Source organism: Homo sapiens, chromosome 22, assembly GCF_000001405.40.
Source record: "Homo sapiens chromosome 22, GRCh38.p14 Primary Assembly".
Taxonomy (NCBI): Eukaryota; Metazoa; Chordata; class Mammalia; order Primates; family Hominidae; genus Homo; species Homo sapiens.
Genome location: NC_000022.11, coordinates 38,387,565 through 38,407,507, shown reverse-complemented (window position 1 = coordinate 38,407,507; position 19,943 = coordinate 38,387,565). Strand labels below are relative to the sequence as shown.

Sequence of the window (19,943 nt, the reverse complement as noted above, 5' to 3'; positions counted from 1 at the left end):
TATAACTCCAGGAAGATAAAAACAATTCTGAACTCTTATACACCTGATAACACAACCTCAAACTATATAAAGCAAATCAAGGAGAAGCTAACAAATCCATTATTCTAAACAGAGTTTTTTTTCCTTTCTTTCGATAATGCTGGTGCCAATATAATTAGAGATTTTATGACAAACATTCAGTGACTGACACATCAAAAAGATGAAAGAATCACTAAGGATATAGAAAATATAAACAGGGGCCAGGTGTGGTGACTCACGCCTGTAATCCTAACACTTTGGGAGGCTGAGGCATGCGGATCACCTGAGGTGGGGAGTTCAAGACCAGCCTGGCCAACATGGAGAAACCCTGTCTCTACTAAAAATACAAAATTAACCGGCATGGTAGTGCATGCCTATAATCCCAGCTACCTGGGAGGCTGAGGTAGGAGAATAGTTTGAACCCGGGAGGCGGAGGTTGTGGTGAGCTGAGATCATGCCATTGCACTCCAGCCTGGGCAACAAGAGCGAAACTCCATCAAAGAAAAAAAAAAAAAGAAGATATAAACAAGACAGATATTCAATATCATTAGTAATAAGGGAAATGTAAATTAAAGCCGCAGTGGGTTGGGATTTTACTCTCACTGGCTTGGCAGATATTATGAAATTGAACGGTTTCAGATTTGGCAAGGAAATGAATCAGTGAGGACTCTCATCTGCTTTGGGCGGGAGTATGAACTGGTTCAATCTCCTGCAAAAATAGTTTAGCCTTGCCTAATAAAGTTGAACATGTTGCACACACAATAATTGAGCAATTCTCATCTTACACTTATTACTTAAGGAACATATATGTGGCTAATAGTAAGAAAAAAGAGAAATACAGCTGGGCATGGTGGCTCACACCTATAATCCCAGCACTTTGAGAGGCTGAGGCGGGTGGATCACCTGAGATCAGGAGTTGGAGACCAGCCTGACCAACATGGTGAAACCCTATCTCTACTAAAAATACAAAAAATTAGCCAGGCGTGGTGGCGGGCACCTGTATTCCCAGCTACTTGGGAGGCTGAGGCAGGAGAATTGCTTGAACCCGGGAGGCGGAGGTTGCAGTGAGCTGAGATCACGCCATTGCACTCCAGTCTGGGCAACAAGAATGAAATTCTGTCTCAGAAATAAATAGAGAGAAAAGAGGAGGTGCAGGCATAGAGACATACAGGGGTATAATTCAGGTGTTAGCAGTTTTTATGGGTGATGAGTACATGGTATCTCTATTTTTTTAAAATTGTATGTCTTTTGCATGTATATCTTACAATAAAAATTATGTCTATATATTTGAATATATCATGTCTGTAGGTCAATAGTTCTGGAAGGAGACCCCAGACTGTTCACTGTGGCTCTTCCTAGAAAGTGTTATTGGGAGGCCGGACGCGGTGGCTCACGCCTGTCATCCCAGCACTTAGGAAGGCCAAGGTGGACGGATCACGAGATCAGGAGTTTGAGACCAGCCTGACCAACATGGTGAAACCCCATCTCTACTAAAAATACAAAAATTAGCCAGGGGTGGTGGCGGGTGCCTGTAATCTCAGCTACTCAGGAGGCTGAGAGAGGAGAATCGCTTGAACCCAGGAGGCGGAGTTTGCAGAGAACCGAGATCGTGCCATTGCACTCCAGCCTGGGCCACAGAACAAGACTCTGTCTCAAAAAAAAAAAAAAAAAAGTGTTATTGGGGGACAGGTGCATTCAAGGAGGAGACTTATATTTTACCCAAATATTCCTGGATGGTTTTAGTGTTGTGTTTTTTTTGTTTTTGTTTTTGTTTTTTTATAGACAGAATCTAGCTCTGTCACGCAGGCTGGAGTGCAGTGGCGGGATCTCGGCTCACTGCAAGCTCCGCCTCCTGGGTTCACACCATTCTCCTGCCTCAGCCTCCCGTGTAGCTGGGACTACAGGCACCCACCGCCACGCCCGGATAATTTTTTGTATTTTTTTAGTAGAGACGGGATTTCACCGTGTTAGCCAGGATGGTCTTGATCTCCTGACCTCGTGATCCACCCGCCTCGGCCTCCCAGAGTGCTGGGATTACAGGCGTGAGCCACCGCACCCAGCGGTTTTAATGTTTTTACAGTAAGTGCATATGACTTGCATAATTTCAAAGACCTAATTACAGCAAGTGAAGCAAAACAAAACCCAAATAACATTCACTTGAGATGAGCGAAAATGCCACGGGGCCATTTGCAGAGGCAGGCTGGTGGGATGGAAAGAGCCGCCACTTTCTGGCAAGTGATGGGACCTTCCTGAGGCTCAGTTTCTTCATCTGTAAAATGGGCCCAGTGGAGTCCTGTCTCACAGAGTCCCTGGAGGATTAGGGAGAATGAGATGGGCAAGGGGCCTGCCTTAGCCCTGGGTGCTCAGTGGATGTTTAGGAGGACACAGAAGCACTGAAAAGAGGGGGACCGGGCCGGATGCAGTGGCTCACGCCTGTAATCCCAACACTTTGGGAGGCCAAGGCAGGCGGATCACCTGAGTTCAGGAGTTCAAGACCAGCCTGGTCAACGTGGCGAAACCCCGTCACTACTAAAAATACGAATTAGCCAGGCATGGTGGCACGTGCCTGTAATCCCAGATACTCCGGAGGCTGAGGCAGGAGGATCCTTTGAACCCGGGAGGTGGAGGTTGCAGTGAGCCGAGACTGCACTACTGCACTCTAGCCTAGGCAACAAGAATGAAACTCCATCTCAAAAAAAAAAAAAAAAAAGAGGGGACCAGTGTTTTGGGAGTTCAGAAGAGGGGCTAAAGATTATGAGACTGGGCTGGGCATGGTATCTCACTCCTGTAATCCAGCACTTTGGGAGGCCAAGGCGGGCAGATCACTTGAGTCCAGGAGTTTGAGACCAGCCTCAGCAACATAGCGAAACCTTGCTTCTACAAAAAATACAAAAATTAGCCAGGTGTGGTGGCGAGGGCCTGTCGTCCCAGCTATTTGGGAGGCTGAGGTGGGACGATCGCTTGAGCCCTGGAGGCAGAGGTTACAGTGAACTGAGATCACACCACTACACTGTAACCTGCACAACAGAGTGAGACCCTGTCTCAAAAACAAAGCAAAACAAACAAAAAAAAAAAACGAGTGTGGGACTGAGAACAGGCTTTCGGCTCTGGGGTGGGGGAGGTGATGTGTGTGTGCCAGGCCTTGGGGGACTAGGAGAAAGTGGAGATGGGGTCAAAGGATGACATATTTGACTGGGGCTAGGAGGTGAGAAGGACGGGGTTAGTCCAGGCCAGCCAGGTCTGGGCGGGGGCAGTGCTAGGGGAGGGCGGGAGGGAAGAAGCTTTGCTCAGCACCCAGCAGAAGTGAGGATAAGGACTAACAGGCTTTATTTGGAACCAGGGAAGTCATGCAAATATATGCAAAAGATCATGCAAATGAGCCTGGCTGGGTGGCCGGTGGGAAGAGGACCCAGCTGGCGATTTTGTTCCTAAGTGTGGTCCAGGGCCACCTGTGACAGAATCACCCAGGAGCTCATCCTGGCCCCTGCCACCCATAGCCCTGCTGCTTCCTCCCTTTGGGGCTGCAGCCCAGGAGTCCACATGCCCAGGGAGCTCCCGGGTGACGACTGACTTCCGCATTCATTCATGGACCTGCGCGTGGTGACGCATTATAATGATACCACATTATAATATGTAACACAGACATTCAAGCAGAAAAGTATGTCTCCCTCCCACCCCCATTCCCAGACACAACCCCCGGTGCCAATTCCTTGTGTGTCCTTTTTTTTTTTTTTTTTTTGAGACAGAGTCTCACTCTGTTGCTCAGGCTGGAGTGCAGTGGCGTGATCTTGGCTCTCTGCAGCCTCCGCCTCCCAGGTTCAAACAATTCTCCTGCCTCAGCCTCCTGAGTAAATGGGCTAACAGGCGTGCACCACCATGCCCGGCTATTTTTTGTATTTTTAGTAGAGACGGTTTTCGCCATGTTGGCCAGGATGGTCTCCAACTCCTGACCTCAGGTGATCTGCCCGCCTTGGCCTCCCAAAATGCTGGGATTACAGGTATGAGCCACCGTGCCTGGTCCCTTGTGTGTCCTTCTGGAAGCTACTCTATACATTCCCAGGTGATTCCGCCTCCAACTGTTCAGATCCACTGCATCTTTGCATCTTAGGGCGATGCCTCTGGGTCACTCTGAAACTGAACTGTCACCCTTACATGTCTTTATTCACTTACTCAAAATTCCTGAGGAGGCTGCTGAATGCAGGGCCCATGCCAGGCACAGGGGAGACTCCGCTCTGCCCTCAGGAGCTCGCAGGAGATGGGGAGCCATTCATTTACAAAAGGCAGCAGCCCAGTGGTTAGAGCCCCAGCTCTGCAGTCAAGATGCTGGGTTCGGCAAGACCTCTCCTTCCCTGAGGGTAGTAATGGTACTTGCATCTCAGGGCAGCAACGTCATGGGCAAGAGGCTCATGCAAGCGTGAGAGCAGAGCAGTGTCTTTAATAAATGCTGCTTTCCTTCCAGAAAACAAGACTTTGCCTAGAGCAGATGCAATGGGGTCAGGGAGGCTTTTTGAACATTCGCTGGCCAGGCTTGGGGCCAATCGGTATGAGCTGCTGGTGGCAATCAGGGCTTCTCTCTCTTTTCTTTTTTCTTTTCTTTTCTTTTTTTTTCTTTCCTTCCTTTCTTCCTTCCTTCCTTCCTTCTTTTCTTTCTTCTCTCTTTCTTTCCTTCCTTCCTTCTTTTCTTTTCTTTTTTTCACCCAGGCTGGAGTGCAGTGGCATGATCTCAGCTCACTGCAACCTCCGCCTCCCAGGTTCAAGCGATTCTCCTGCCTCAGCTTCCCGAGTAGCTGGGACTATAGGCAAGCACCACCACACCCAGCTAATTTTTGTATTTTTAGTAGAGATGTGGTTTCACCATGTTGGCCAGGATGGTCTTGATCTCTTGACCTCGTGATCTGCCCACCTCGGCCTCCCAAAGTGCTGGGATTACAGGCTCGAGCCACCGCGCCCGGCTGGGCTTGTTTTCTTGTCCCATTCTCAGGCAGAGCTCTCTCTGGCTACGGTTCCAGTGCTGTGGGGCCTGGATGGGCAGCTGTGACAACAGAAGGTCCACAGCCCTTGGCCTGTGTTCAGGGGCCCCGGGGCCAGGGGGAGCCCGGCAGTCTCTCCTGTGCTCATTCTGAGTCTCTCTGAATCAGCCCTTACCTTCAAGGCCTGCCTCCTCCAGGCAGCCTTCCTAACTGCTTCAGCCAGAAGGGGAAGGGGAGGACATGCTCACCACCCGCCGGGCTTACTAAATACCTGCTGCTGGGTCCAGCGCTATGACATTAAAATAAATAAATAAATAAAAAATAAAAATAAACTCTAGTTTAATCCTTCCAACCCTTATGGAAGGAGGCATTTCACACCCACAGGTGCGGCAACTGAGCCTCAGAAAGGTGAAGAGACTTGCCCAAGGCCGCCCAAAGAATCAGCCTCCATGTGGGCTCTAAGTCTGCCCTGTTCCTGTCTTTGGGACTCCCGCCCGGAGAGCCCGAGCCCCTCAGCAGCAAAGTCCCAGGGACTGTGGAGGGACTGGGATAGCTGGACTCCTGTCGGCAGGGATGCTCATCACTGGGTGACCTTGGTGACATGGCCCGCTCTCCTTCCTCCCTGGAACTCGATGATCTCATCTATCAAATAGTGCCTGGCCTGCGACCCAGGGAAGCTGGGAGCATGTCTTGTCTATACCTCCAGTCCCTCTGGGCCCCTCTCCCAGCCTCCACACACTTCTCCAGCTCAGAGGGTGCCAAACAAGCTCAGCACCCCCTGCTGCTCCCCACCAGGCCCCTTCCAGTCCCACAGTCCCCCATTTCCTGGGCCAGAGTCCTGAGCAAACCCTTGGAGTCTTCCTTTTCTTGCCCCCACATGCAGTCACCAGGTCCTTTAGCTTCTCCCAACAAAGGGCCCCAGCTGGCATCTGTCTCCACCAAGCTTTGGGCTCCCCACAGGTGGGCTCAGGTTGACTCAGCTCAGAGAAAGTTAACTGCGGGACAGGTGCACAGCTCAGCAGCAGGAGGTGGCAGAAGGTGCTGACCCTCCTCGTCAGCTCTGCCTGAGCTGTTTGGACAATTGTGAAAAATGAGGTGTAGCTGATGTTTGCTGCATTGAACCAAGGTGAAGTGGGGCTTTTCTGCCCCTTCTCCAAGTACCATGTGCAGAGCTTCTCTTTTGGTTCCATTCTTTGTTTTTTTTGCTGGCATCTAGTAGCACCTGACTCCTTTAGAGATGGCCTAGGAAGGGAGTGATGGCAAAGCTGGATTTCTTGTGGGTGGAGCTAAGCATAGGAAGACCAACGTTCGATTTTCAATTTTCACTTCATGCAGTTATGAGTTTCTAGCTTTTATTACAAAACCAAATGTTTGCAGTGTTCTCCTGTTACTTTTGGAGTTTCCATATTTTAATTGTTTGAACTATACATGCTTTCCAAATAAATGGGAGGTATGAGTCTCACATTCTAAGGGAAGAATGTGTCTCAGGGAAGCCCTCCCGGACGAATTCAGATCCCTCTATGTTCTTCTGAAAACACAGTATGTATTTGCAACCCAGCAGTCAGTCACTGGCAGAATTTTGCAACGATTTCCCAGTTTCGTTGGCACGACTCCAGGACAAGGTTCTTTGTAATTCTTTGCTCAAACATAAGGAGGATCACATATAAATAAAACTCTTAGCGGATAGATCAGTGAATATAATCATCTTTCAATTTTAAAAGCTACAACATAATAAGGCACTTTTTTTTTTTTGAGGGAGGCAGCGAAACAGTAACAAATCATGATGCTATAATGTGAACAAAGTGGTAGCTTTGGAGGGCACAGGGGGAAAACAAGCACAACCGTTTTTGCTCAGAAAATAATTCAGTAGCAACAAGGTCTGAGAGCCAGGAATCTCCTTGTTCTTACTGAAACGATTATTTGTCAAAATATTTGATTGTTTCCCTATTCCCCCTGAAAAGTTTGGACTTTTCTTTTTGCTCGATTTTGACACTGGAATTTTTAACTGTCAGTGCTATTGTGTTTACAGCATTCAAGTTCTCAGAGTTCAAAGGTTATCCATTAACATGTAGAATGAGGCTACACTTAAAGGCTCAACCTGGTTGCACTTGTTCATAGTTTCTTTGTTGTGTAGCAAGGCTCATAGTCATTTGTTTTCATAAAGTTAAATGAAGTTTCTTGTTTATGAAGTGTTTTTGGACTGTGTTTTAGAATGTGACAATAAGATTAAAAAATATATTTTAAAGATAGGTATTCATCTTTTGTCAGAAAAGGACTCCTAATACTAAAAGTGATCAATATCAGTGGACTTGAGTGAAAAAAAATTCACCCAATTTAGTTTTTTAGTGCTGGCCTAAGAATCTACCGGCACTGCTAATTAATTGTGAGTAATTGATTGGCTTCCTTTTTAAAAAAGACTAACCAGACCATATGGGGGGTTAGTAGTTATATATAAAATGACAGCAAAACATGACACTTGGCAAATTCTTCCCCTTTGCTGAGCTGTCTTCTCAAATTCCTTTTCCTATTTATTAAGATTGCATTGCTCACCAGCTCCGGATCGTTTCTGTAGTGCGTTCTTTCTTTTGATTTAGGAAATAGATATTTTAAATGCTTTTCTTGATGTGTTTTAAAGTTTTTTCATTTTGGATATGCCGAAGGCCAGTAAAAAAACAAATATTTGGCTATTTTGTTGGTAGCGACTTGCATAGATCCATTTCACATTTGCATTAGTTTGCATTTTGGGGTAGAAAAATTGTGGATATGTTTGTTATGTCTGTGGTTCCTCGAGGCTTACTTAAAATGGGGAAATATCACAGGCCTTAGGAATCAGGATTTTTTTTGTCCTTTTTTTCAGTAAGAAAAAAAAAACAGTTGGGAAACGATTTAAATGAGTTGTGCGTAGGGAGGAGGGGAAAGGGTAGCGGTTTTTTGTTTTTTTTTGTCCCCGGTTTCCTCCAAATGGATTTCTATCAAAACCAAGTAGATTCTTGGAACCTAGTCTAAGTTTAGAAATCTCAAGTTAGAATAGCGCAAGCCCAGTCCTTTCAGAAAAAAAAAAATCAGAACAATTAAATAGCTTTCTGAAGATACTCATTTAAAAACTTTATCTTCTCGACCTTCCTCACGCTTGAAGAAAATCTGAGGTGTTTTTCGCGCACAGCTGCCTTCTAACCCGCGAGCAACGGCGTTAAGGTTTTGTTTGTAATTCGGGGTGACCCAGGAGTTCGGGCCGCGGGCCCCTCCCCTCGCCCGGGCACACCTTGCAGAGGAGGGGGCGGCGGGGACGGGACCCGGGTCTGCGCCTGCGCACACCCTCGCGGCCCCCCCCGCCCCCCCCGCCGGGTACCTGTCACGGCTACCGCCGCGGCGCTCGCCCGCCACGTTAAATCGGATGGCGGGAGTAGGGGTATGGGGCGGGGGGCGCGGGGAGGGTGGCACGGCGCGTGCGTGCGCGGGAGTCGCCGAGCGATAACTGGGAGTGCGCGCGCTCGCCGCTCGCTCGCGTCCCGGAGGCGGAGTCTGTGGCGGGGGGCGGAGCGGGGGCGGGCCTATGCTAGTCACGTGGGCGCGGGGGCGGGGTGGGGCGGGGCGGGGCGTCTCCGAGCGGCGGGCCGAGGGAGGGCGCAGCAGCTGCTCCCTGAACACTTTCTGACCCAACAGTCCCCCAGCGCCGGACGCGCCGCGCCCTGGCGGCTCTAGGGACCCCCCCCGCGCCTGCACTTAGCCCCGCGCCCGAGGTGAGCCCGGCCCCTAAATCCTCCGGGCGGGGGTGGGGGTGCGGGACGCTCCTTTTTTGTTGGGGGTCTTGGAGGCGCGAAGGCACTAGGCGCCTCGGCAGATGGCTGCACCCCTCGCTTGCGGCTCCCCGTGTCTTTTGGGGGGCCGGGTGCGGGCGCGGAATCCGGGAGGTGTCCGCACAAAAGGCCGAGAAAACTGCGCGAGGCCTCCCTCCCTCCGCCCTCCCCGCCCCCTCCCCTCCGCGCCCGCTCCTCCTCTTTCAAACCCGGCCGGCCCGAGTGGAGTCAGCTCAGTCCCGGCAGCCGCCGCGCGAGGAAATGGCCGAGGGGCCGGAGCCACAGGTAAAGGGGGGCGCCCCCCGCCCGCGCCAGCCGGGGCGCCCGCCTGGTCCTGCGGAGGCTCCCGCGCCGCCCCCGAGGCGCCCGGCTCTCGTTGTCTTGTCCCCCCCCAGGATGACCTCAGTTCCCCGTCTCAGCTTTCTAGCTGCTCTTTCTAGGGCGCCCCCTCCCCAGCCGGCTCCTGCGCTTCCGCTGGCGGGAAGGTGCGGGCGATCCCGGGCTGCATCCGCTCTTGGCCGTCACACTCACGCCGCACGATTCAGAAGGGCTTGGGGTGCGGGGTTCCCTGAATCTCCGCCGGGAGCGGGGGTCCGGGGGTCTGCGGGGGTGGGCGGTGGGGGGCTGTTCCGAAAAGTTGGGTCGCCCCGCGGGGCGGGTCTCCCAATTTGCCCAGTCGGCCCTTGGGGCGCGGGCGGAGGGGGGACGTTGGCGTAGGGTCCCCCGCGATACCCCGGGAAGGGCCGGGGGAAGTTGGAAATGGCCAAAACAATGCGTCGGGACAGGCTTCCCCCGTAAACAATGGCCGGGACGGTCCACACGGGCCAGGCGGAGGGCGCGTCTAAGGGACCGCGGGAGGGGCTGGGCCTCTCCGCGGACCCCGAGGTGCGCCGGGTGACTCCCTCGGGTGCCCAAAAATCTGTCCCCGGGAGTCCTGGGGCGCCTGCTTATCCCTGAGCAGGGATGCACGGGGCTGCGTTTCCTGGATGTGTGCGATAAGGTGGCTTTTTTTTCCCTCCTCTAATTTTAAAGATTTTTCTTAAGTCTTAATGTTCTATAAACACTTAAAGAATATCTTTACAACTCAATTGTAGTGGAACACCCAAAGGCAGCTGGAAGCAGAACTGGGAACTCTAAAGGGCAGGAAGGATTGAAATGCTAGCCCAAAAGTGCTGCTGCTTTTTTTTTTTTTCTTTTCTTTTTTTAAAGGGAAGTTTCTGCCAGGAGGTGCCAAGTGGTGAAACCGCTCAGTTTCAGGCACAGCCCTCTTGTCTCTCGATTTGGCCCCGACTGCGAGCCGGACGGGATGGTGGAGGGGCGGAGGGCGCTGCTGGGGGCCTGGGAGGCTGGATTTAGGGCTGCCTGGGCGGTACCGCCCGAGGGGCAAGACCCGACAGCGGGGCGCGCGCCGCAACGTAAGTCCCGGGGATTTGAGAAGACGTTCAGGGCCTGGGTTGGAATCCACATTTTGGGATTCTGGGTAGGGCCACCGAAGACGGGAAGGCGCATTCTTGGGCGGATGGGGTGAGCAGGCGGGGAGTTTTCCGCCAGGTTTAGTTACAGGAGCTAGAAAAGGCCACTTCTGGGACCCTGGCATCTGGGCCACCCTGAGAGCCCCAGAAACTTTTTTTTCTTTTTCTTTCCCCCCCACCCCCCAGAAAAGGATAGTCATTTCAGGTTTAAGGCTTTGGTGTATTGTTCCACTTCGAAATTCCTTGAGCCTCAGTTTATCTTCCTGAATCAGCCTATGGTGCTTGCAGCGGAGAAAGTAAATGGCGGTTGCAGTGGTCCACTGGCCAGTTTGGGGGTCCTGTATAATTGGCCACTGTGTGTGTCAGGCCTCTGAGCCCAGGCCAGGCCATTGCTCACACAAAGCTTGTTTGGTGGTCTCTTCACACGGACGTGTATGAAATTTGGTGCCGTGACCCCAACCCTTAAGAAGGTTGTTTGTAATTCTCCCCACCCTTGAGAATGTACTTTGTGAGATCCACCCCTGCCCACCAGAGAACAACCCCCTTTGACTGTAATTTTCCATTACCTTCCCAAATCCTATAAAATGGCCCCACCCCATCTCCCTTTGCTGACTCTTTTCGGACTCAGCCCGCCTGCACCCAGGTGAAATAAACAGCCATGTTGCTCACACAAAGCCTGTTTGGTGGTCTCTTCACACGGACGCATATGAAAGTGTGTCCTACAGCGTAGCTAGGTTTCTTAGTTTTCTAGATCGTTTGGAAGCATTAAGCTGTATGTTTTAAGAAGCCTAGGTCTGATTTAGTTCAGATTGATTCAATAATGTCTTCATCGCTTTTGAGTTGGTTGAATGACTTGACATGAGATTAAGCTCAACAAAAGAAAAGGTGAGGTAGCAACAGCTGCCGTCCAGGCCTGGCCACTAGGTAGGGGTCTTAGGAGGCCTTTTACCTTCTCTTTTGTATATGTCAAGAGGGACATTTACAATGTTCTTATTTTACTGTACTTCTTTCCCCTGAAGTGGATGTTCTTTCTTGATTGATATCAAACAAGACTTAAAATGCTAAGTTTTATGATACTTAGACAATGAGTAATAGATGTAGTTTCTAAAAGCCTTTATGTGTCTGCAGTGACAAGTGCAGAGGAATAACCTCATTGCTTTTTGTCTGAAAATATAACAGGCAAGCCACTAGTTTGTGCTTACTTAATGTGTGCTAAGAACTTTTAAGGTATGTCCTTAATGGTAGATAACTTTTTTCCTTCTGAGAAGTCATATTTATTTTAGATATTGTTTTGTTCAATATTCTGGAGACTAATAGTGTTTCATTTTGTTTCTTAACCCTGATGTTGCTGCCATTTTTAATCGGTTATATTTAAATTCAAGAGGCCGTAAGTTATTTAAAATACAGTTGTCAGTAGTTACAAGGCAGATTTATCATTTATTTTAATTGTTAGAATAGGATTAATAATCTGTTTGGAATTTTAATTATTTGGCATGATGAGGAAAGCTAGTCCTTTAGAATTGTCTTTATTTGCCTACAGAAGGAGGAAGTAGAGGACAAGATACGACTTTTATTGGTGAAGGACACACACTTTTTTCTTTAGTGTCCCACTCTTTTAATCCTTTTGTCTTCACATTTTTCTAACGCTTTGCAGTTTGACCTTTGCTGTTTTTTAATAACTTGTGAGATCGAAGTTTAGCAGTTGTGTTGGGTTCCTATTCCCTTTCACTTCTTACTCAAAAAAAGGAACTAATACACCACTTAGAAAAAATTTGTAGAAAACTTTTCTCCCCTTTACCCTGAGGAATCTATTTTGGTAACAGGTCAAAATTTTTTTCCACGTAGTAGGGGAGGAAGGAGGAGCAGTGAAGGTTTTGACTTTGACTGCCTTTACTTTTTTAAGGTGGGGGTAGATTTGCATTTTCTTTGTGAGCCTCCATTTTTGGCAGGAAAAGTTCAGGGAGGAGTAGGAGCCCCTAATCCCCTTCCAGTGGACTTGTTTTGGAGGAAATCTGAAAATAAGACTTAATCATCAAGTCACTTATAGACTGATGAAATAATTAAGGAATATAATGGCCTGGCAATGACTAAGTCGTTCTATCTCCTCATTGCAGGTACATGCTTATCACTTTTTTCTCTCTTAACAACGTTTATTATGAAATGGCATGTTTTCGCCACAGCAGGGTAGCCATTTCCCAACCCTGGAGCACTCTTAATTCTGAGATGCCTGATTAGAGCCTCAGGGGTCCCAAAAGATGTGCTGTTTTCCCACTTTATAAAATTACATTCTTTTCTCACAGTTGTCACAAACATGATATTGGTTGATAAGAACTTTGGAGTAGTTTTAATGACTCTTGACTGCCTGAAAGATGCCACTTTAAAAAAGGAGCTACTTTTAGCTGACTCTATTTGAAAGTAAATGATTGGACCCTTTTTATGTTTTATATGAAGCTTTGTTTCCATTTGCTTAAAAAAAAAAATTCAAATTGTCCCATTTCCTGTATGCCCATATGGCCTGTATGTTATAGATTTTGAGGTTGCTGGGTATGATTTGTTTTAAATGGTTCTTTCCTAATTTCCCATTTCAGTTTAATCCCTGAGCAGAATGTTTAATGAATGAATTGGGAAGGTGAAGCTGAAGGACTGAGCAATGGCTGTTTTCAAGCCTTAGAATTAGAAAGTAGGAATGAAAAACATGAGACAGTTGCATAAACTGAGTATTCCACTGATAAAATAAACGTAATAAGATTTTAAATCCAGTTCCTTCAATTGAAATCTAACAACAGAATAGTTTTTAGATTACTGGGATATTAAAAAATAAAAACCTGAAAGGTATTTACAGAACAGCTACCAACATGGAATTAAAGGAATCTCAATCTTGTTAAATATTCGAAAGAGTGAAGGGTTTGGTTACAGCATGTAAATTAAACTTGAGACAATGGCGGGTGGAGGGGTCTTGATCCGCACACCTCTTTTCCAGATTCTGCGGCGGGGAGGGGTGTTAAAATTAAAATGCACATGGAAGAAAAAAGTTTATTACACAAAGACGGCAGGAAATTTCTTGAATTCGGGTGAAGGAAGCCTGATTATTGAATATCACTTAATGGCCTCATTTTAGAGGCAGAATAAAAACTTTTCTGAAATGCTCATGTTTTTGGAGTAAGGTGAACTGGGTTATTTTTCCCCAACCAGTAATAACAGACAAATTTGCAGTGGTATCTGGGGCAAAGGTTTTTGAATTTAGACCACGAAGAGAGATAGAAATCTGACTTTAAGAAAGTGGAAGAACAGGGACCATTCTTTCCTAAAATCTGCAGCTCACGATGACATGCTCAATTATTGTACACATCTATCTTCCAGATAAATAGGGGGGAAGCCCCCGCTAGCCAGCTGCCGCCACATATTACCCTTTTATATTTAATGTTGGAATGCTTTCCATTTGAACATTTGTTGACTGACTGTTCTGAACATCTCCATTACTTCCTGCCCAGGGTATCAGCATAATTGAGTTACTGGAAATTTGGGGACAGTTTGGTAATTTTATGATAAAGTTGAGAAGTAAAATTACTAAACCTGAAAGGGCAGCTGAAGAAGTTGTATGAGAGAGTTAGTTGGATTCCTTACTTAGCCTTTGTTCTTATTAAGCTTTACAAAACTTGTTTCTGACCTCCACATGACTGTACTTCCTATAGAAAAGCTCCCCCAGACTCAGAAGCTAGGTTTTTAACAGACTCGTGTAGTGTTTCTGTATTGGTGTTCCATTATTTTCTGGTGTGTCTGGAAACCTTTGGAATTTAAAATGTAGTTAAATGGACTGGAAATGTAGACTCTAGACATTTCTTGAATCAGCATTAGGAATAATAGTTACTTTTACTTCTACCTCTATCAAATAAGGATAACATAAAGCATCTCAGTTATACTGAAGAAGTGTTTCTTTCTTTTGTAATCAATATAGAGTTTTTCTTCAGTTTATAAATCGACTGAACAATGATTGTATTATTAATTGAAAGGAGACTTTCCCCCTTGATTTTGAAAGCAAACAGGTGACTGGAAAGAGCCAGATATACAACTTTAGTATGTAGTCAGCAAAAGATAGGATGGGGAGGGGAATATTTAAATCTTGCAGAAGAATGATCTTATGCCTTAAAAGGCATTGCCTAAGCTTGTATTTAGCTAGGTTACTTGAATTGTGTTTAATTCAGAGCGCTCATTGGAAAAAGTGGTATGGTGTACTGGTCTAGTAGTGGGTATAGTTATTTGTGTGTGTATATATATATAGATAGATGTGTGTATACACACGTTCAGTGTTTTCATTGCAGAGAGTTAGTGCAGGTAAAGATAGAACAGTTTATTAACAGTTAATTAATTTGCTGAAATCTTTTTTTTTTGGTGCAGTTAGGCCTGTCAAATTTTTACAGATATTTAAGGTTGTACTGGTTAAGTAGTAGTAATAGGAGAAATGGATAGCAATGCTTAGTCTTGCTTAATTAAAGTTTTTAAAAATTCACTTTCCTTATAACTTTTTTTCAGATCAGGATGTTTTTAAAAACCACTTTGCAGATGACAGTATCTGTTAATATTGAAACTAAAACTAGTATGTTATACTTTAAGTTCTTACTAAGATCCCTTAACTGACCTTAACTGATTTAGGATGAATTCAGGCAGTTTCTAGTTAATGACACTCAAATATGCTATATGATTATATTTTTATAGTACTTTGGTCTCTAATCCTATTTAAAATTGGTAATTTATGAACAATTTCAGCAAAATGAAATTATTTCCTTTACAAGCTTCCCAAGTTGAAGAGTTTAGGTTGTAACCTTAAATATAAACTTTGAATATTCCAATCTTTTTCTTTCGCTTAACTTGGAAGCATCTTTCCACAGCTAAATTAGGAAAGTTGGGTTGACCATTTAGCCTCGTGGGTGTGACCCCTAGTAATTTCCTTGAAACAGTGTTGAAGAATTTAGAGCATTAAAAATAAAAAATAAAAAAACCTGTAGCTTTTTGATTGTTAGTAGATGGCTATGCAGAGTTTTCTCCACTTGTCAGATTAAGAAAAAATACTGTGTGTAAAAGACAGAGGAAAAACTTTCAGAGAAAATGTAAACTTCTAGCCAGGTCTTGGAGATAATTTTGTAGTTTTCAGGGTACAAATGCATTGGCCAGAGAATAGCAATTTAAGTTGAATTTTTTAATAACTCCTTATTTGGACACCTCAGTAACTTGGGAAAAAGTAGCTTTGTTAGCAGTATGACAAATTGTGTATAAATATAATTTTTCTGTGTTTTTGAGGACTTGAATACCTTATTGCTTTGTATTATGGTAGATACATATTCCATATCAACAGTGTAAGATAACCTATTAAGCAGAAGAAACAAAGAGGCTGTGCTGTTTCTAAAAGTTAACAGTTTGAGTACATCAGGATGTAAAGAAAAATATTCCCAAGTTACAGTAATTGTCAGCAAAGTGGCTGTTGTACCTAGTTAGTTGTACTTAAGCACAGATTACTGTGCTTTTTATTAAGCAGTGTATAATGTGTCCTATTTGCTAATTTCAAGATCTATAGGTAGTGGTAGAATTCATGGTAGCTTTAGTCACAAATCAGTGTGTAATTAGTGACCTAAAGAACATCACACTTCTATTCCAGCCTTTTGTAGCAGTGTGGTTCCCACTGGGTTTCAAAGATTATGCTCTGGTAAATTTTAAAAGTATCTACTGAAATAATCCCAATAGAAGTTTCTTTCAAAATATGGCTATACTCAATAGCCCACTTGCCTTAGGTGTTAGGGGGTATATGAGTTAAGTTCTGTCGTTTACCTGAGTAAAGATTTTAAAATGTTTTTAAACATTGGAAACCATTTTTGTGAAGTACTTGTCAGTAAGCTTAGCGTGTTCGTAATGCTCACTTTCTTGCAAGCTAGAAGCATTTAGATTATAGTCTTGGATTATAATATCCTCCTTTTCCCCTCCAGTTCTTTGTTGAGAAAGACAATTTACTTTAACAGCAGTGCCATCGGTTTACTGCTGCCTTCTGTGTGCAGGAGTGTGGAGAGCTGGAGGCTTCTGGGAAGGCTTGTGTTTGTGCACACACACCATTCAATTGGAATGGTGATTTGCTGTTAGTAGATTAGAATTTCTATTTTGCTGTATTCTGTTATTAACATCTTTATTGTTACAACCACTTTAACGATTACTGATGAGCGAATTGGTTTTAAGCGATGTAAACCTGGTTTAAAGTATTATTCATTGTCTTAGAGTTTAAGGAAAGTGTTTTGTCTAGTATGTTAGCAGTTTCTAAGTCAAGAGCTGAAGGCATTTGCTGTCAGAGATAGCCCTAGGATGCCCAGCATTTTTGTTTTGGAGGGTCGTAAGGAGAGTGAGTATAAATCCAAATAGTGCAGTTTTTGTTTTGCTTGTGCTGATGAACTTTATGGTGTGATTAAATATGATTTTTTTATTACGCTCTTGAAATTGTACTCTTGAAGTTGCAGAATGGCAATTAGATGGCAGTCACTGATAGCCATGTAGAAGTTTTGATGAACATGCAACTTAATTTTAATTTCTGATCAGTTACGTTTAGTGACTGTGGCCAAACATGTGCGTACTGATTCTACACGTGTGCTAATTCCGTGACGTTTATTCACCAGCTATGTGTCGCGTGCCTACTCCTGTGTCAGGCACCTTGTTCCAGGCATTGGGGGCAGCAGTGGACAAGGCAACAGAGTCTCCATCCTGAGGTGTTACTTTTAGAAAAAGACAGTTACAAGCAAACAAACAGGATGGTTTTAGATCTGGACAGAGGTTTTCAGAGGAAGTCATCCTTGAGCTGTCACAATGCTTTGGGGTTAGGGTGTGCTGGGTAGTCAGGGATGGCACATTTGGGGTGCCTAAGGATTGCTGTGGCCCTGGGAGCCTAGGACAGTTGATCACAATTGACTATTAGAGTCAGTCTCAGAAGCTTTCCTGGAGAAAGAATTGCTGCTGTTTTGCCAGGAGGGTTTCCTTCCCCATCTGACCACACAAGAAGACCCCTTGGCCTAGAATGCCTGCCCTCATCTCCAGGTCTCCCAGGCTGTTCACCCTCCCAGGCAAAGTGGAAACTTCCTCTGTCCTAAGATCGTTTCCCACTGAACCTCCTTCATTGTCCTTCACTGCAGAGAAATAATCCTACAAGGTCTTGTGTGGAGACTGATGGTAACTTCTTTAACCCAGATAATTGAGAATTGGAACCAAAACATCTGTCTGTTAATAAATATTTTCAGTAACTAAGTTATGCTGTTTCCCTGAGTGGGAAATAACACTCCATCATATTTCTTTTTTTTTGGGCAAGAGGGGGGAGTCAAAGTCTCGCTCTGTTGCCCAGGCTGGAATGCAGTGGCGCGATCTTGGCTCACTGCAACCTCCACCTCCTGGGTTCAAGTGATTCCCAAGTAGCTGGGATTACAGGTGTGTATTACCATGCCCAGCTAATTTTTGTATTTTTAGCAGATAAGGGGTTTCACCATGTTGGTCAGGCTGGTCTCCAACTCCTGACCTCAAGTGATCCACCCACTTCGGCTTCCCAAAGCATTGGGAGTACAGGTGTGAGCCACTATGCCCGGCCTCACATCATATTTCTAATCCCGAGACTGTAGAGCTGGTGTCTCTTTTTGGAAAGGATGTCAGTAGAGAAGTGGAGTTCCCCAAAATTACAGTTTCACATATTAGTCAAGTTTCTAAAATACAGTAATAATGTTGAGAGCTGACGTAGGGACTAACTTAGTTTTTGTTTTTTTTTTTTCAAATTCTCACCTAACTTTGATTTTGCTAAATAAGGACATTAAAAAAAACCCAAAAAACTCCACTATTGCATATTGCCACTATTTGATTTTTTAAAAAATAAGCGTATTTTAGCATCTGCAAGTAGGAAGGGCCTCAAATAAATGAGTCTTTGTTCTTGGCCAGGGAAAACAGCGTTGTCAGCATTTGTTAACTGTTTTTCTAGGGTATGTGCTGTTATTCAGTTAAAACCTTGCCTGGGACGCTAGCATTCAGTAAATACTTGTTGAATAAGCAAATGAAACTTAAGCTTCTATGTATAGAAACCTAAGTCACTTCACATTCTGATTAGCAGAGTAATTGAATATTCTTTTCAGTGTGTAGATCTATCCCCAGAACCACAGAATATTGGAACTGTAAAGGCCATCCTAGAGTTTAACCAACTGCGTTAAATAGATAATAGAAAGATGTGGTATGTGGCAGTGACAACTTGAAGGTTGTGACTAGAACTCGGGTCTCTGGAGTGTTCTATTATATCACACCAAGCTGGTCACCAGCCCATGTGTTGATCCTCCATTGTGATAGCAACAAAGAAGAGACTTCAGGACATTCTTTCCTTTACCCTAATCCTTGATCTTCAGTCTTATTTAGAAAAGCTTAATGTTAAAGATCTAGTTTATTCAAAACTAAAGATAACAAGGAGTATGAGAATTTCTATTTCGGAGTGTAAAGGAGGAGATGTTTCCTTGGCTTCTCTGAGCCTACAGGCCTTCCTTGCTCTTTAAGGAAGTAGAGAGAGGGAGGAAAGTAAAGTATGCTTTTGTTTTTTAAGGTTACTTTGCTGGGAGTAGTTTGCATCCCTTTTGGTTTTCTTGGGTGGAATTAACTGACTTAAGTTTTAAGTAGTTGGGACTATTTAGAAACAATGCCTATCCAATGTTTGCCATAAAGGCAGAGGGTATTGGCTTTAGAAGTTAATTCTTCTCCAGGAGTGAAAATTAGCTTCTAAACCAGAAGCAGCAGAGCTAAATAAAGTAATTTTCCACCTGGCCAGTGCATGATGTGAAAGGTAGATTAAAAAAATCAGAGGACCCATTTTCTGATGAAAGACTAAGCCATGTTGAAACAGCCCTGTTGAGGATTTTATTTTAAATCTATACATTCACAAAGGAGCTTTGTGTATGTCTTTCCCTATTTGTTGTTTGGACTAGGAAGCCCCACCCAGTGCTTGTTGAAGGCAGAAAGTTGTGGAAAGCAAGCCGGGATTTGAACAGTGGATTGAGGTTTCGAATATCCAGTGAACCAAAATATATCAGGGTTCCCGTGGCCAAAATGAGTGACCATTCTGAGGTGTTAAGTATTTCTTGAATGGGGATTTTAGGAAAAGTTTCTGTATTTCTGTGCTCATTTTGTTGACCTCTGTATGTGCAAAATCTCTAAGGGGGTGTTTGGGCACTTAGATTGGATGCAGATTTGTTTGTATATGAAACAGATTTTAAATTGTTTTGTATACACTGGATTTAAAATATTTTAGTTTACTAAAGTGTTTTAATGTTTTCATCTTAATCTTCACAGTTCTTATAGTCTTTAGATTTAGGGAGGCTGCTGATGGCATCCACATGTGCATTTTAGTGGCATTTAAAATGTATTCAGCTGAATTTAACAATTTCTGACCTAAAACTTGACATTTTAGATTTAAGTCGGTAAAGCACTGATTTAAACTGGATTTTAACTGGATGAAATTCTGATTTAATAAGTGTACTGACTGGATAAAATGCCAGTGATTTAATTAACAAGCACGTTTAACAGGATGCCCTATATATTAGTTAAAAGTGAAGCAATTGAATTAGGTACCATTTCAAAATGGTTGCTATACCCACTCTCTCTATCCTCCAATTACGGTATATTTTGAAATGGTTGCTTTT

The 19,943-nt window shown here is 44.8% G+C and overlaps 1 protein-coding gene and 1 pseudogene across 2 annotated transcripts in view, besides 5 other annotated features; both read left to right on the top strand.

Annotated features, from left to right (window-relative positions):
* Nucleotides 2,995-3,494: an enhancer, noted in NCBI's record as "H3K4me1 hESC enhancer chr22:38800019-38800518 (GRCh37/hg19 assembly coordinates)". NCBI's record gives its function as "activates a minimal SCP1, AML or CMV promoter by ChIP-STARR-seq in naive H9 embryonic stem cells {active_cell/tissue: H9 hESC(naive)}" and the evidence as "EXISTENCE:reporter gene assay evidence [ECO:0000049][PMID:30033119]".
* Nucleotides 3,182-3,368: a transcriptional cis regulatory region, noted in NCBI's record as "candidate enhancer chr22.1870 targeted for multiplex CRISPR interference". NCBI's record gives its function as "positively regulates LGALS1 gene expression in K562 cells {active_cell/tissue: K562}" and the evidence as "EXISTENCE:mutant phenotype evidence [ECO:0000015][PMID:30612741]".
* Nucleotides 3,495-3,996: an enhancer, noted in NCBI's record as "H3K4me1 hESC enhancer chr22:38799517-38800018 (GRCh37/hg19 assembly coordinates)". NCBI's record gives its function as "activates a minimal SCP1, AML or CMV promoter by ChIP-STARR-seq in naive and primed H9 embryonic stem cells {active_cell/tissue: H9 hESC(naive and primed)}" and the evidence as "EXISTENCE:reporter gene assay evidence [ECO:0000049][PMID:30033119]".
* Nucleotides 8,536-8,815: a silencer, noted in NCBI's record as "silent region_13717". NCBI's record gives its function as "represses an Ori minimal core promoter by ATAC-STARR-seq in GM12878 lymphoblastoid cells {active_cell/tissue: GM12878}" and the evidence as "EXISTENCE:reporter gene assay evidence [ECO:0000049][PMID:35858748]".
* TPTEP2 (TPTE pseudogene 2) overlaps nucleotides 8,582-19,943 on the top strand; it is a 54,262-nt pseudogene continuing 42,900 nt past the window's right edge. The window contains exon 1 of the transcript NR_002821.2: nucleotides 8,582-8,728. The product of NR_002821.2 is annotated as a TPTE pseudogene 2 (transcript). The remainder of the gene's footprint in view (nucleotides 8,729-19,943) is intronic.
* Nucleotides 8,593-19,943, top strand: part of TPTEP2-CSNK1E (TPTEP2-CSNK1E readthrough) — a 108,225-nt gene continuing 96,874 nt past the window's right edge. The window contains exon 1 of the mRNA NM_001289912.2: nucleotides 8,593-9,070. The gene's annotated coding sequence lies outside the window, so the exon portion shown is untranslated. The remainder of the gene's footprint in view (nucleotides 9,071-19,943) is intronic.
* Nucleotides 9,081-9,864: an enhancer, noted in NCBI's record as "H3K27ac hESC enhancer chr22:38793649-38794432 (GRCh37/hg19 assembly coordinates)". NCBI's record gives its function as "activates a minimal SCP1, AML or CMV promoter by ChIP-STARR-seq in naive H9 embryonic stem cells {active_cell/tissue: H9 hESC(naive)}" and the evidence as "EXISTENCE:reporter gene assay evidence [ECO:0000049][PMID:30033119]".